A 12,044-nucleotide genomic window follows, 5' to 3' on the forward strand; every position below is an offset into this window, starting at 1 on the left:
AATCTGAAAATTAACACATATCTCATTTTGCACTTTCTGTCTCCCCAAAGTCAAACCTGCCAGATGTTCTGTCCCACTCCTGTAAACAACTAAAACTCACCATGGTCTGCTGGCAGAGCTCTGAAATGGGCAAATGCTCCCTGATCCACCATACTGCCTACTTGCCCTGAGCCAGGTGGCTATAGGAAGGGCAAGAGTTCCCAGCTGGGCAAACCCTCAACACATTTTCCCTCTCTCGTGGGTTTCCAGGCTAGTCCGCAGAAGCCTGGTTCATCCACAACCGTACTGAAACATAGAATTAATTCCGGCTATACCCTGGGTGAGCTAGGCCATTATGGCAGCCAAACCACCACTTACAGCATAATTTCTATGGGAGAATGTGTTCTGAGCTCCAAGCAACCAAATTATAAGCGGGACATAGGCACACCCAGGCTCGAATCCCAGTTTTTTTTGTTCGTTTGTTTTGTTTTGTTTTTGAGATAGCGTTTCACTCTTGTCACCCAGGTTGGAGTGCAGTGGTGCAAATTTGGCTCACTGCAACCTCTGTCTCCCGGGTTCAAGCGATTTCCCTGCCTCAGCCTCTCAAGTAGCTGGGATTACAGGCGTGTGCCACCATGTCCAGCTAATTTTTGTATTTTTTTAGTAGAGACAGGGTTTAGTATTTTTAGCAGAAACAGGGTTTCACCATGTTGGCCAGGCTGGTCTCGAACTCCTGACCTCAGTTGATCTGCCCGCCTTGGCCTCCCAAAGTGCTGCAATTACAGGCATGAGCCACCGCACCCGGCCTCGAATCCCAGTATTATCACTTCCTAACGATGTGATCATGCGCAAGGCACCAGCCTCAGTTTCTTGCTTTGTAAAAAAACAAAACAAAAAAAAAAAAAACACCGCCTTTAGCCCAGGCATTGAGGCTCATGCCTGTAATCCCAACTGTTTGGGAGACCAAGGCAGGAGGAGTTCAAAACCAGCCTGGTCAACATAGAGAGACCCCATCTGTACAAAAGAAAAATTTTAAAATTTAGCTAGGCATGGTGGCACATGCCTGTAGTCGCAGCTACTCAGGAGGCTGAGGCAAAGGATCACTTCAGTCCAGGAGCTTGAGGCTGCAGTGAGCTATGATCATGCCACTGCACTTCAGCGTGGGTGACAGAGCAAGACTGTCAAAAAAAAAAAAAAAAACCAGAATACCTCTTCTAGAAGGTTCTAGTGTATAATAAATAGACACCTGTGAAAAGGCCTCAGCTGCTCCTGGCACACAGGGGCTTTTGCAGAGAGGCCCTGGAGACAAGACCCAGGCAGAGTCCCTCTGAGCGACTTATCCAGCTTTGCATAGGGGCATTACCACTGGACTTGGGCTCAGAGCAAGTGTTTATGAGATAAATGAGGTGCCGTCTCAGAATCACAGAGCACTCCTCTACCTTTGACCTTCTGCAGGCTTTCACTGGCTTCTAAGAGCCAAGAACCTTCTCCGCCCCCACCCAGCTCTCTCTCCCCTGCAATCTCTCCATGAACAGCATTGTTTTAGCTTCCTCTGCTCTGGGTCCTGGGAAGGGGCTTGGCCTCCAGAAGGGGCCAGATGCCCTGGCCTCTCACCCCAGGCCTGGAAGTTAGCCTGGCCTGCTAGCGGGCAGCCCAAAAGAGCCAGCAGAGAACCAGGGCACGCTCCCAGGAACACCAGGGCTGGTAGCAAGCCGACCTCCTCCCGCGGAGGCTGGGGTTTGGCCCCTCCTTCATCTGTTTGTTTCCCTGCTGCAGCCAGAACGGTCTGTACCCGAAGGATGGTGCTAACGGCCAAGGAATCCGTAGGGTCCTAAAGTTCGACCTACTTCCTTTCCTTGCCCTTGTTCCCCAAATTCAGGGTTTCCTGGCCATGGGCTTGTTGTCCCTTGCCTAGGGTCACTGGCACTGTGGAGATCAATCACCTTGAGTGAGGCCCCCTACACGGCACTGTGCTTCCCCCGGTCCACCCCCCAGGTGCCATGGCCCTGTAGCCTCCTCCCTGGTTCCAGTCCTGTCCATCTGTCAATAGGCCTCCCTCCCTGGCACTGCTCACTGGGTCTCAGTTGTCCAGCCCCCACCCCACCTCCTTACCCATCACCCCCAATCCTGCCATAGCAAAAAAAAAATTCTTGTGAAAAGAATATAAGCTCATGGTAAAAATCTACCAGTGTAAAAGGTGTAGAAAGAAAAAGTAGGCTGGGCACGGTGTCTCACGCCCATAATCCTAGCACTTGGGGAGGCTGAGGTGGGCAGATCACCTGAGGTCAGGGGTTCGAGACTAGCCTAGCCAACATGGCAAAACCCCATCTCTACTAAAAATACAAAAATTAGCCGGGTGTGGTGGCACAAGCCTGTAATTCCAGCTACTTGGGAGACTGAGGCAGGTGAATCGCTTGAACCCAGGAGGCAGAGGTTGCAGTGAGCCGAGATCACGCCACTGCACTCCAACCTGGGCAACAGAGTGAGACTCTCTCTGTCTTAAAAAAAAGAAAAAAAAGAAAAAGAAAAAACTTTTTTATCCCTCTTCAACAGCTTCTCCAGCATCCTTCTAGATGTTTTCTCAGCATGTTTAAAAGTGTGTATCTGCAGAGGAGTGTCCTCTTTTGTCTCCCCTCAGCCTGGGATTATACTGTACAAATTGTTCTGCAACCTGTTCCTGTCACCTCACAGCAGATCTTGGACATCTTTCCAAAATCTACCTCCCTCTTTTTAACACCCACATAATTTCCCATGATTGGGATGTACTGTAATTTATTTAACTGTTTTCCTACCAGAGACACTTAGGTGGTTTTCAGTTTTTGCAATCATGACCTAATTGTTTCCCTGCCTTAGGTCTCCAACCTCCAATCTGCCCTCCACACCACTGCTAGATTCCAATCCCCAATCTGATTTGTCATCCCCAGTATAAACCTCTTCCTGGTGGTAGGGTTATTCACTAGGTGTCTATTGCCCCCATATACCTTAAGCTGCTCAAGACCAGGTGTTGCCTTGGAGCTCCTGGCAAGGAACTCTCCAGACACGTCAACTCAGCACTTTCTGAGCCAGTCTCAGCACTGCCCTGGGGAAATGTATGGAGGTTCGCAGGCCATACGGATACTCATTCTTTTTTTTTTTTTTTTTTTTTTGAGACACAGTCTCACTCTCTCACCCAGGCTGGAGTGCAGTGGAACGATCTTGGCTCACCGCAACCTCTGCCTCCCAGGTTGAAGCGATTCTCCTGCCTCAGCCTCCCAAGTAACTGGGATTACAGGTGTGCACCACCACGCCCAGATAATTTTTGTATTTTTTTAGTAGAGACAGGGTTTTGCCATGTTGGCCAGGCTGGTCTTGAACTCCTGACCTCAGGTGATTCACCCACCTCTGCCTCCCAAAGTGCTGGGATTACAGGTGTGAGCCACCACGCCTGGCCTCATTCTTTTTTTTTTTTTTCATATATTATTATTGGAAACTCTGTGGGCTGGGCTTTTTGTGCAGGGCACCAGGAGATCCAGGACAAAATAGATACAAACCCTGGCCTCTTAGAGCTTGCAGTGTATTGGGAAAGTCAGGCATTGGACATCCACAGAGATAGATGAATGAATGATTACAAAGGGAATTAGTGGTTTGAAAGGAAACAGCAGGAGAGAAGAAGGGATTGCAGGCAACCGGGGAAGCCCCCTCTGAAGAGGTAACAAGCTGCAGTGGAGAGATACCAGCAGACTGTGGGATCTGGTTCCCACACTGGAACCAGATTCTGGACACTTCCCCTTTATTCTCCTCAAATGTACAAGAAGGGGAATCCCCCTTTCAGTTTTAACTTTCTGTGACAATAATAAGTGCTGGCTGAGTTCAGAGGGAGTAGAGTTCCCCACCGCCTGGGAGGGGTCAGGGAGATTTCTTGCTGATTCCACACTGACCTTGAGTCACATGTGGGCTCCAGTTCCATTCAATTCTGGGTCAAACACTTGTTGAGTATATACTGTATATATCCCAACACTGGGACAGGGGTGTGTGTGGGTGTGTTGGGGGGAATTATAGTGGTGGTGGCAGAGGGTATTTAAAGATTTATATAAGACAGCTGGGTGCGGTGGCTCATGACTGTAATCCCAGCACTTTGGGAGGCTGAGGTAGTTGGATTATTAGGGACCAGGAGCTTGAGACCAGCTTGGCCAACATGGTGAAACCCCTGTCTCTACTAAAAATACAAAAATTAGATGGGCATGGTGGCACGTGCCTGTAATTCCAGCTACTCGGGATGCTGAGACAGGAGAATCACTTGAACCCGGGAGGTGGAAGTTGCGGTGAGTCAAGATTGTGCCACTACACTCAAGCCTCGGTGATAGAGTGAGACTCCATCTCAAAAAAAAAAAAAAAAAAAGACTTACAATACATATATTGGGAGGCCAAGGCAAGAGGATTGCTTGAGACCAGGAGTTCAAGACCAGCCTGGTCAGCATAGTGAGACCCTGTCTCTACCAAACATTTTAAAAATAAAAACAATTTTTTTTTTGTTTTAAGATTTAAAATATGTGCCAGGCTTGGTGGCTCACACCTGTAATCCCAGCACTTTGGGAGGCTGAGGCAGGCAGATCATCTGACATCAGGAGTTCAAGACCAGCCTGGCCAGCATGGTGAAACCCTATCTCTACTAAAAATACAAAAAAATTAGCTGGGCGTGGTGGTGTGTGCCTGTAATCCCAGCTACTCCGGAGGCTGAGGCAGGAGAATCGTTTGAACCCAGGAGGTGGAGTTTGCAGTGAGCCGAGATCCAGCCACTGCACTTCAACCTCAGCATCAAGAGCGAAACTCCGTCTAAAAAAAAAAAAAAAAAAAAAAAAAGATTTGAAATATATGACCTCTGAAAGAGTTTACAATCTGATGGAGCATCAGACCCAGGATAGGATCCTTTCAATATTAGCTACTGGGCTGGGCACGGTGGCTCACGCCTGTAATCCCAGCACTTTGGGAAGCCAAGGTGGGCAAATGACCTGAGGTCAGGAGTTCGAAACCAGCCTGGCCAACATGGTGAAACCCCATCTCTACTAAAAATACAAAAATTAGCTGGGCATGGTGGCGGGTGCCTGTAATCCCAGCTACTCAGGAGGTTGAGGACCAAGAATCACTTGAACCCAGGAGGCGGATGCTGCAGTAAGTCAAGATTGCACCACTGCACTCCAGCCTAGGCGACAAAGTTTGATTCCATCTAAAAAAAAGCTATTGAAGGAGAAGGGAGCAACTCATACTCATGCACAGCTGTGTGATTGAGCACAGGCTTCCAAGGCACCAGGCCTGGCCTGGACTCGCTACCCTGAATTCTCCAGCAGGGGAACAAGAGGGTTCCCAAACCTGTTCAAGGAGGGCTTCTCAAAGGACCTGGAGCTTAACACAAGCTGGGAGTGTGAGCTGTAGCTATAAGGTGGGAAGTGCATTGAAGAAGAGTAATTGGTGTGAAGGTAGGAGCAAGCTGGAAGGGAAGCCACTTGGGACCCCACAGAAATGGCATCTCACCGGGCACAGGGAATCTGGAAAAGGTAAATTATGGCTGGGCACGGTGGCTCATGCCTGCAATCCCAGCACTTTGGCAGACTGAGGCAGACAGATCACTTGAGGCCAGGAGTTTGAGACCAGCCTGGCCAACATGGTGAAACCCATCTCTACTAAAAATACAAAAATTAGCCAGGTGGGTGGCACACACCTGTAATCCCAGCTACTTTGGAGGCTGGGACAGGAGAATCACTTGAACCCAGGAGGTAGAGGTTGCAGTGAGCTGAGATCACACTACTGCACTCCAGCTTGGGGGACAGAGCAAGACCCTGCCTCAAAAAAATAAATTAATTTTTTTTTTTTTTTTAAAAGAGCATGTTAAGGAGTACAGGCATCCGTTTTTCTCAGGGCCAAAGATTTCCTATCCCAGTGGGAGCACCAGATGAGAGAAGAGAAAAATCTGCTGTGACCTCTGCCAGTCTCACTTCCAGGTCTATGTGTCTGTCTTTAGCATGATTAAAATACTGTAAATTATATGCTTATCCTTTGTTGATGTTCTCTTTATGATCCACCTTATGTGGCTGTATATATTTTGCATATCTACATACATATTACTATGCAAAGTTGTATACACAAAGCCATGCATACTGTACTTTATGGAAAATTTAAGAGCGTTTCAGATATAATTAGAACCATATGTGTTTTTCCCCTTCTGGGCTGTGGGTGGGAAATGAATCTAGAGCCTGCCCCCGAGGCTTGCGAGGCTGAACTAAGCAGCCAGACTGGCTCTAAAGGCAATGGGGAGCTATTAAAAGGTTTGGAGAGGGAGGTCCTAGTGAGGCTGAACAGAGGTAAAATAAACAGAAAGTTCCAGGCTCTCCTTGCTTCTACTTAAGAAAAATCAGAGCAGTAAATCCCAAACCAGTTCTGCCCACAACTCAAATGCAGATGAGCATCCCTTGCTCCATCTATGCAGGAAAGCCATAGTGTGGGGCTGTAGGACTATGGAGTCAGCCTCTGCAAGCAACAAGGCTCAGAGGCTGAGGGGCTTCAGGCCCCAGCAAAACCCAGTGATCCTGTTGTCAAATCTGAATGTCATCATCTGCCTCCAGGGCGACCAGCTCTGGATGGGGGTGTCAGGGTCAGGATCCTGTTCCATGTGGCAAGAGCTTGGGGAAGCTGCTGCAGGCCTACTGATGACCTTCTTTCCTGGCCCAGACACTCTTAAAAACTTCCTGGCGAGGGAGGCAACACACCTTATTGTGCAGCCCTCATCGAACGCATCAGCTGCACTAAGTGCTGAAGAAAAGTTCCCATAATAACCATGTGTGATAATAAAAAGATAAAGAGGCAAATAGGTATGTAGGTCAGCTCAAAAATAGCCACCCACCCGCCTGGCCTGGGTAGCCCTTTGTGCCAAGTGGGTAGAAAGGTTTTCCTTGCTTCCCTTCCCAAGCTGATGCCCCCTGCACTTTTCAAGGTTGCCTTAAATACAACTCCTTCCTGCACTAGCTGGGGTAGCCAGGGCAGTAGGGACTGCAGCCCTACAGGGGCAGCCCTGCGCTCCCTCCACCAAATCAATCCTGGGGTCAGAGGGCACAAAGGCTTGGCCTCTCTGACGTGAGTTCTCGGGGCTAAGTCAGGGTTTAGGGTAGTGAGTCACAGACATTCTTTCCCCCATCCCTTAGGGTTTGCGCACACCCAGGAAGCCTTCCCCTCCCCAACAGAGACCGCTTTGTTAGCACGACCCACCCGGTTGGAGAAGAGTTACAGCCTCAGGGGTGTGAGGGCCTCCTCGGCCTCTCCCTCCCTCCCCCTCTCTCCTCTCTAGGGCTCTCACCAGAAAGGCGCCAACCCTGCGCCCTGCCCCCACCCAGCCGCCGGGGCCCCAAATGCTGAGCTCAGCATCTCTGTGGCCTGGCTGCCCTCCTCCCGGGCAGTGGGAGGAGCCTCCTTCCTCCCGAGGGTGGGCGGGGCCAGGGCCAGCCCCGCCCTCCTCCCCGTTCCCCCTCTCCCTCCATCCCCCTCCCGTTCCTCAGTCGCACGTTCTCCAAGTCACGTCCCCCGCTTCCCCTAGTAGGGGGTCGACGGAGATTGGACCCTTCCCCCAGTCAGCTGCTCTGCATCTGTCACCTCGGCGGCAGCGCTCCCTTGAGGTCGCACCTCCGCTGTGGAGGGAGGCGAGAGCGAGCTGAGTGGGGGGTCTTCCCTTCCCCCATCCCGCTGGCCCCAGACAAGCCACCGCAGACCGCGGCGAAATCAGTTAAGCTCTTGCGTGCACCAGTTCCCGGAGCAGAGTCTGAAAGTTTTTGTGTTTCTGTGCGGCTACTTTTAAGTATAAAAAATTCAGCAGTGGCTCCTGGGTGCCTATGTCAGCGTCTGGCCCTTTGTGGATTACGTACGGGACAACTGGGGTGGGGAAGGGCCCCTCTTCACAGGCAGCAATTCCCAGAGTGGCCTTCCTATGGGACCCCAGAGCTCCCAGGGGGAGGATCCCAGAGGGGGATATGGTAACAGAATCACTGTCACTTCTGGGATTGAGGGTGGCAGCTAAAGGGAAACCCCTCGAGTGTCAGTCGGACTTGCCATTTGAGTCAGCACTGCTAGGTGCTGCTGAATTCTGCAGGGGGAGGAAGAACCTGATCAGATAAAACAAGGGCTGACCTAGAGAAAGTCTCTTGGGTCAACATATTCTTAGCGATAACAGAAGATCACTCCAACTGTTCTACACCCCACCCTACAACATTGACCCCCCGCTTTCCAGCATTTACAGTCCCTTTTAGTTTACAACTAAGAGTATGGGTTGCCTGGGATCAGGAAATGAGCCTAGATGTAGAGTCCTGGCTCCAGCCTTGCTGACACTATGTGACTCACTGCACCTATCTGAATCTCAGTTTTCTCACCTGTGCAGTGACATTGATGAGGTCTGTCCTGCCTACAAACTCTACACACATATATTAGTTGTTGTTTTTTAATTTTTAGTAGAGATGGGGTTCTCACAACTTGCCCCAGGCTGGTTTGAACTCCTGGATTCAAGCAATCCTCCCATCTCCACCTCCCAAATGCTGGGATTACAGGTGTGAGCCAGTGTACCAGGCCAGTATTATGCTGGGATTACAGGTGTGAGCCACCATACCAGGCCTTTATTTTTGTTTTGTTGGTTTGTTTCGTTTTTGTTTGAGATAGCGTCTCACTCTATCACCCAGGCTGGAGTGCAGTGGAACGATCTTGGCTCACCGCAACCTCCGCTTCCCGGGTTCAAGTGATTCTCCTGCCTCAGCCTCCCAGGTAGCTGGGATTACAGGTGCATGCCACCAAACCTGGGTAAATTTTGTATTTTTAGTAGAGACAGGGTTTCACTATGTTGGCCATGCTGGTCTCAAACTCCTGGCCTCAAGTGATCCACTCGCCTCAGCTTCCCAAATCATGTGCTGGAATTACAGGTGTGAGCCACTGCCCAGCCTAAGTCTTTTTTTTTTTTTTTTTTTTTTTTGAGACAGAGTCTTGCTTTTTGACCCAGGCTGGAGTGCAGTGGCACAATCTCAGCTCACTGTAACCTCAGCCCCCTGGGCTCAAGTGATTTTCCCACCTCAGCCTCCCAAGAAGCTGGGAATACAGATACACTCTACCATGTCCAGCTAACTTTTTGTCTCTTTAGTAGAGATGGGATTTCACCATGTTGGCCAGGCTGGTCTTGACCTCCTTGACTCAAGTGATCTGCCCACCTTGGCCTCCCAAAGTGCTGAGATTACAGGCATGAGCCACCATGCCCAGCCTCCAGTTGTTATTTTTATTAACAAAGTTATGAAAATCCTTTAGAACATGTGGAAAAAGACAAAAAGTTATAAGGCTGGGTGCAGTGCCTCACACCTGTAATCCCAGCACTTTGGGAGGCCGAGGTGAGCAGATCGCCTGAGGTCAGGAGTTCAAGACCAGCCTGGCCAACATGGTGAAACCCTGTCTTTACTAAAAATACAAATATTAGCCAGGCATGGTGGCGGGCACCTGTAATCCCAGCTACTTAGGAGGCGGAGGCAGGAGAATCGCTTAAATCCAGGAGACAGGTTGCAGTGAGCCACGATCGTGTCCAGCCTGGGCAACACAAGACTCCATCTCAAAATTAAAAAAAAAAAAAGTTATGAAAGCCCTAAAAAATATGGAAGTGTGTTTTTTTGTTTGTTTTGGTTTTTTTGAGACGGAATTTCACACTGTTGCCCAGGCTGGAGTCTAGTGGCGCGATCTAGGCTCACTGCAACCTCTACCTCCCGGGTTCAAGCGATTCTCCTGCCTCAGCCTCCCGAGTAGCTGGGATTACCGGCGCCCGCCAGCACGCACGGCTAACTTTTTCTATTTTTAGTAGAGATGGGGTTTTACTATTTTGGCCAGGCTGGTCTCAAACTCCTGACCTCATGATCCGCCTGCCTTGGCCTCCCAAAGTGCTGGGATTACAGGCGTGAGCCACCGTGCCAGGCCTGTGCAAGTGTTTTTAGAATCCTGAAGCGCTCCATAAGGGTCAATGATCTTTGTGAGGAGGCTGGTGCGGTGGTTCACGCCTGTAATCCCAGCACTTTGGGAGGCTGAAGGGGGCAGATCACCTGAGGTCAAGAGTTTGAGACCAGCCTGGCCAACGTAGTGAAACCCTGTCTCTGTTGAAAATACAAAAATAAACCGGGCGTGGTAGTGCATTCCTGTAATCTCAGCTACTCGGGAGGCTGAGGCAGGTGAATCCCTTGAAGCCGGGAGGCAGAGGTTGCAGTAAGCTGAGATTGCACCACTTGTACTCCAGCCTGGGTGACAGAGTGAGACTCCACCTCAAAAAAAAAAAAAGATCTTTGTGAAGAGATGGCAAATTGCCAGGTGGGCTGGCAGCTTCCATTTCCTGCCAGCCCAGGTGTTCCAGAGAAAGGCTCAGCATGCAGACCTGGGCAGCTGCCTTTTGCCTAGACTTGAGTTTCCCAAGCCTTTGACTATTAAGGCCACTGGAGATAAAATGCACTTCTGAGTGAGGTTAGAGGCATCGCAGAAGGGTGATGAAGGAGACCAAAGCCAGGGAGAAGAAAGTTCCAGAGGATTGAGTGGGGCCTAACTGCCAGGAGAGAGGGAGATCCTGGAACCTCCTAAGGCTCCCTGCCCTGTCAGTTCCTTGTCCATAAAGTGGGGGAGGTTGGGGGCTGGAAGGAGTACTCTCTTAGGACCTGCTTATCTTAACATTAAAAGATTTTAGCCGGGCATGGTAGCTCATGCCTGTAATCCCAGCACTTTGGGAGGCTGAGGCGGGCAGATCACCTGAGGTTGGGAGTTTGAGACCAGGCTGACCAACATGGAGAAACCCCATCTCTACTAAAAATACAAAAAAGTTAGCCAGGTGTGGTGGCACATGCCTGTAATCCCAGCTACTCAGGAGGCTGAGGCAGGAGAATCGCTTGAACCTGGGAGGCGGAGGTTGCGGTGAGCCAAGATTGCGCCATTGCACTCCAGCCTGGGCGACAAGAGCGAAACTCCATCTCAAAAGAAAAGAAAAAAAGAAAGATTTTAAGGTTCATTCTACTGACAGAAGAATCCTGACAGTGAGAAGGCTGACCCTTCTCTCTGCTGATCTAGCTCTACTCACCCCAGCCCTTTGGGAAACGCAGAGGCTAGACAGGTCCTCCTGGTCTCCTTTCTTCTCTAGAAGGAAAAACAACAACAATAGAGTGAGCTCATTTTGCTGTCCAGACAAATGATGAGCCTGGGTTTGGGCTTTCCCAACTGTGGCAGGTCCTGATCATCTCTGTCATCCCCTGTCATATACTCCCTAGGCTGGTGGAAAAACCCCCATCCCTGCTTCCCCCTTTGTTATATGGATATCAACAATATTTCCATATTGTAAACCAATTGGAAGCCCTCAAAAGGCAAAAGCACTGAAATGGCTGAAATGCCTATTTCTACCTTCTCTGGCAGGCCTCCTGCAGAGAGTCCTATGGGCTAGGACTGGGGTTTGGGGGAAAGCAGCTCCATGGAATGTATTATATCTTTCTCCTTTGCTATGATCCTTGTAGAGGTTGAAGAGGTCTTTGAGATTCTCTAGTTCCGTGTTTTCAAAACTGAGGTATGAAGGCCGGGCTTGGTTACTCACGCTTGTAATCCCAGCACTTTGGGAGGCCGAGGCAGGCAGATTACTTGAGGCTAGGAGATAGAGACCAGCCTGGCCAACATGGCAAAACCCCGTCTCTACTAAAAATAAAAAAATTAGCCAGGCGTGGTGGCGCATGCCTGTAATCCCAGCTACCCGTGAGGCTGCGGCAGGAGAATCTCTTGAACCTGGGAGGCAGAGGTTGCAGTGAGCTGAGATATCGGCACTGCACTCCAGCCAGGAGGACAGAGCGAGACTCTGTCTCAAAAAAGAAAAAAAAAGTTTTTTTCTTTTTTTGGAGGGAGAAATTAAGTAATTTAACTAGTAAGTAATCTAAACATTTGCTACTGAAATTAACACAGATAAAATATATAATAAAATGCAAAATTGTGTTATTTGTAATAAAAATTCTGGGCTTCAAAGACATGGTATGCTTCCTGGGGGCTGCTTCTGGGCCACAGCCCAGACT

The 12,044-nt window shown here is 49.7% G+C and overlaps 10 annotated features.

The window, feature by feature from the left end:
• Positions 1,493–1,732: an enhancer, noted in NCBI's record as "active region_3531". NCBI's record gives its function as "activates an Ori minimal core promoter by ATAC-STARR-seq in GM12878 lymphoblastoid cells {active_cell/tissue: GM12878}" and the evidence as "EXISTENCE:reporter gene assay evidence [ECO:0000049][PMID:35858748]".
• Positions 1,493–1,913: a biological region, named in NCBI's record as "Sharpr-MPRA regulatory region 8691".
• Positions 1,619–1,913: an enhancer, noted in NCBI's record as "tiled region #8691; K562 Activating DNase unmatched - State 5:Enh". NCBI's record gives its function as "activates a minimal TATA promoter and a strong SV40 promoter by Sharpr-MPRA in K562 cells {active_cell/tissue: K562}" and the evidence as "EXISTENCE:reporter gene assay evidence [ECO:0000049][PMID:27701403]".
• Positions 6,321–6,540: an enhancer, noted in NCBI's record as "active region_3532". NCBI's record gives its function as "activates an Ori minimal core promoter by ATAC-STARR-seq in GM12878 lymphoblastoid cells {active_cell/tissue: GM12878}" and the evidence as "EXISTENCE:reporter gene assay evidence [ECO:0000049][PMID:35858748]".
• Positions 6,571–6,640: an enhancer, noted in NCBI's record as "active region_3533". NCBI's record gives its function as "activates an Ori minimal core promoter by ATAC-STARR-seq in GM12878 lymphoblastoid cells {active_cell/tissue: GM12878}" and the evidence as "EXISTENCE:reporter gene assay evidence [ECO:0000049][PMID:35858748]".
• Positions 6,753–7,396: an enhancer, noted in NCBI's record as "NANOG-H3K27ac-H3K4me1 hESC enhancer chr10:74020023-74020666 (GRCh37/hg19 assembly coordinates)". NCBI's record gives its function as "activates a minimal SCP1, AML or CMV promoter by ChIP-STARR-seq in primed H9 embryonic stem cells {active_cell/tissue: H9 hESC(primed)}" and the evidence as "EXISTENCE:reporter gene assay evidence [ECO:0000049][PMID:30033119]".
• Positions 6,753–7,520: a biological region, named in NCBI's record as "NANOG-H3K27ac-H3K4me1 hESC enhancer GRCh37_chr10:74020023-74020666".
• Positions 7,311–7,520: a silencer, noted in NCBI's record as "silent region_2470". NCBI's record gives its function as "represses an Ori minimal core promoter by ATAC-STARR-seq in GM12878 lymphoblastoid cells {active_cell/tissue: GM12878}" and the evidence as "EXISTENCE:reporter gene assay evidence [ECO:0000049][PMID:35858748]".
• Positions 7,691–7,830: an enhancer, noted in NCBI's record as "active region_3534". NCBI's record gives its function as "activates an Ori minimal core promoter by ATAC-STARR-seq in GM12878 lymphoblastoid cells {active_cell/tissue: GM12878}" and the evidence as "EXISTENCE:reporter gene assay evidence [ECO:0000049][PMID:35858748]".
• Positions 7,851–7,960: an enhancer, noted in NCBI's record as "active region_3535". NCBI's record gives its function as "activates an Ori minimal core promoter by ATAC-STARR-seq in GM12878 lymphoblastoid cells {active_cell/tissue: GM12878}" and the evidence as "EXISTENCE:reporter gene assay evidence [ECO:0000049][PMID:35858748]".

This window comes from Homo sapiens, chromosome 10 (assembly GCF_000001405.40).
Source record: "Homo sapiens chromosome 10, GRCh38.p14 Primary Assembly".
Classification (NCBI taxonomy): Eukaryota; Metazoa; Chordata; class Mammalia; order Primates; family Hominidae; genus Homo; species Homo sapiens.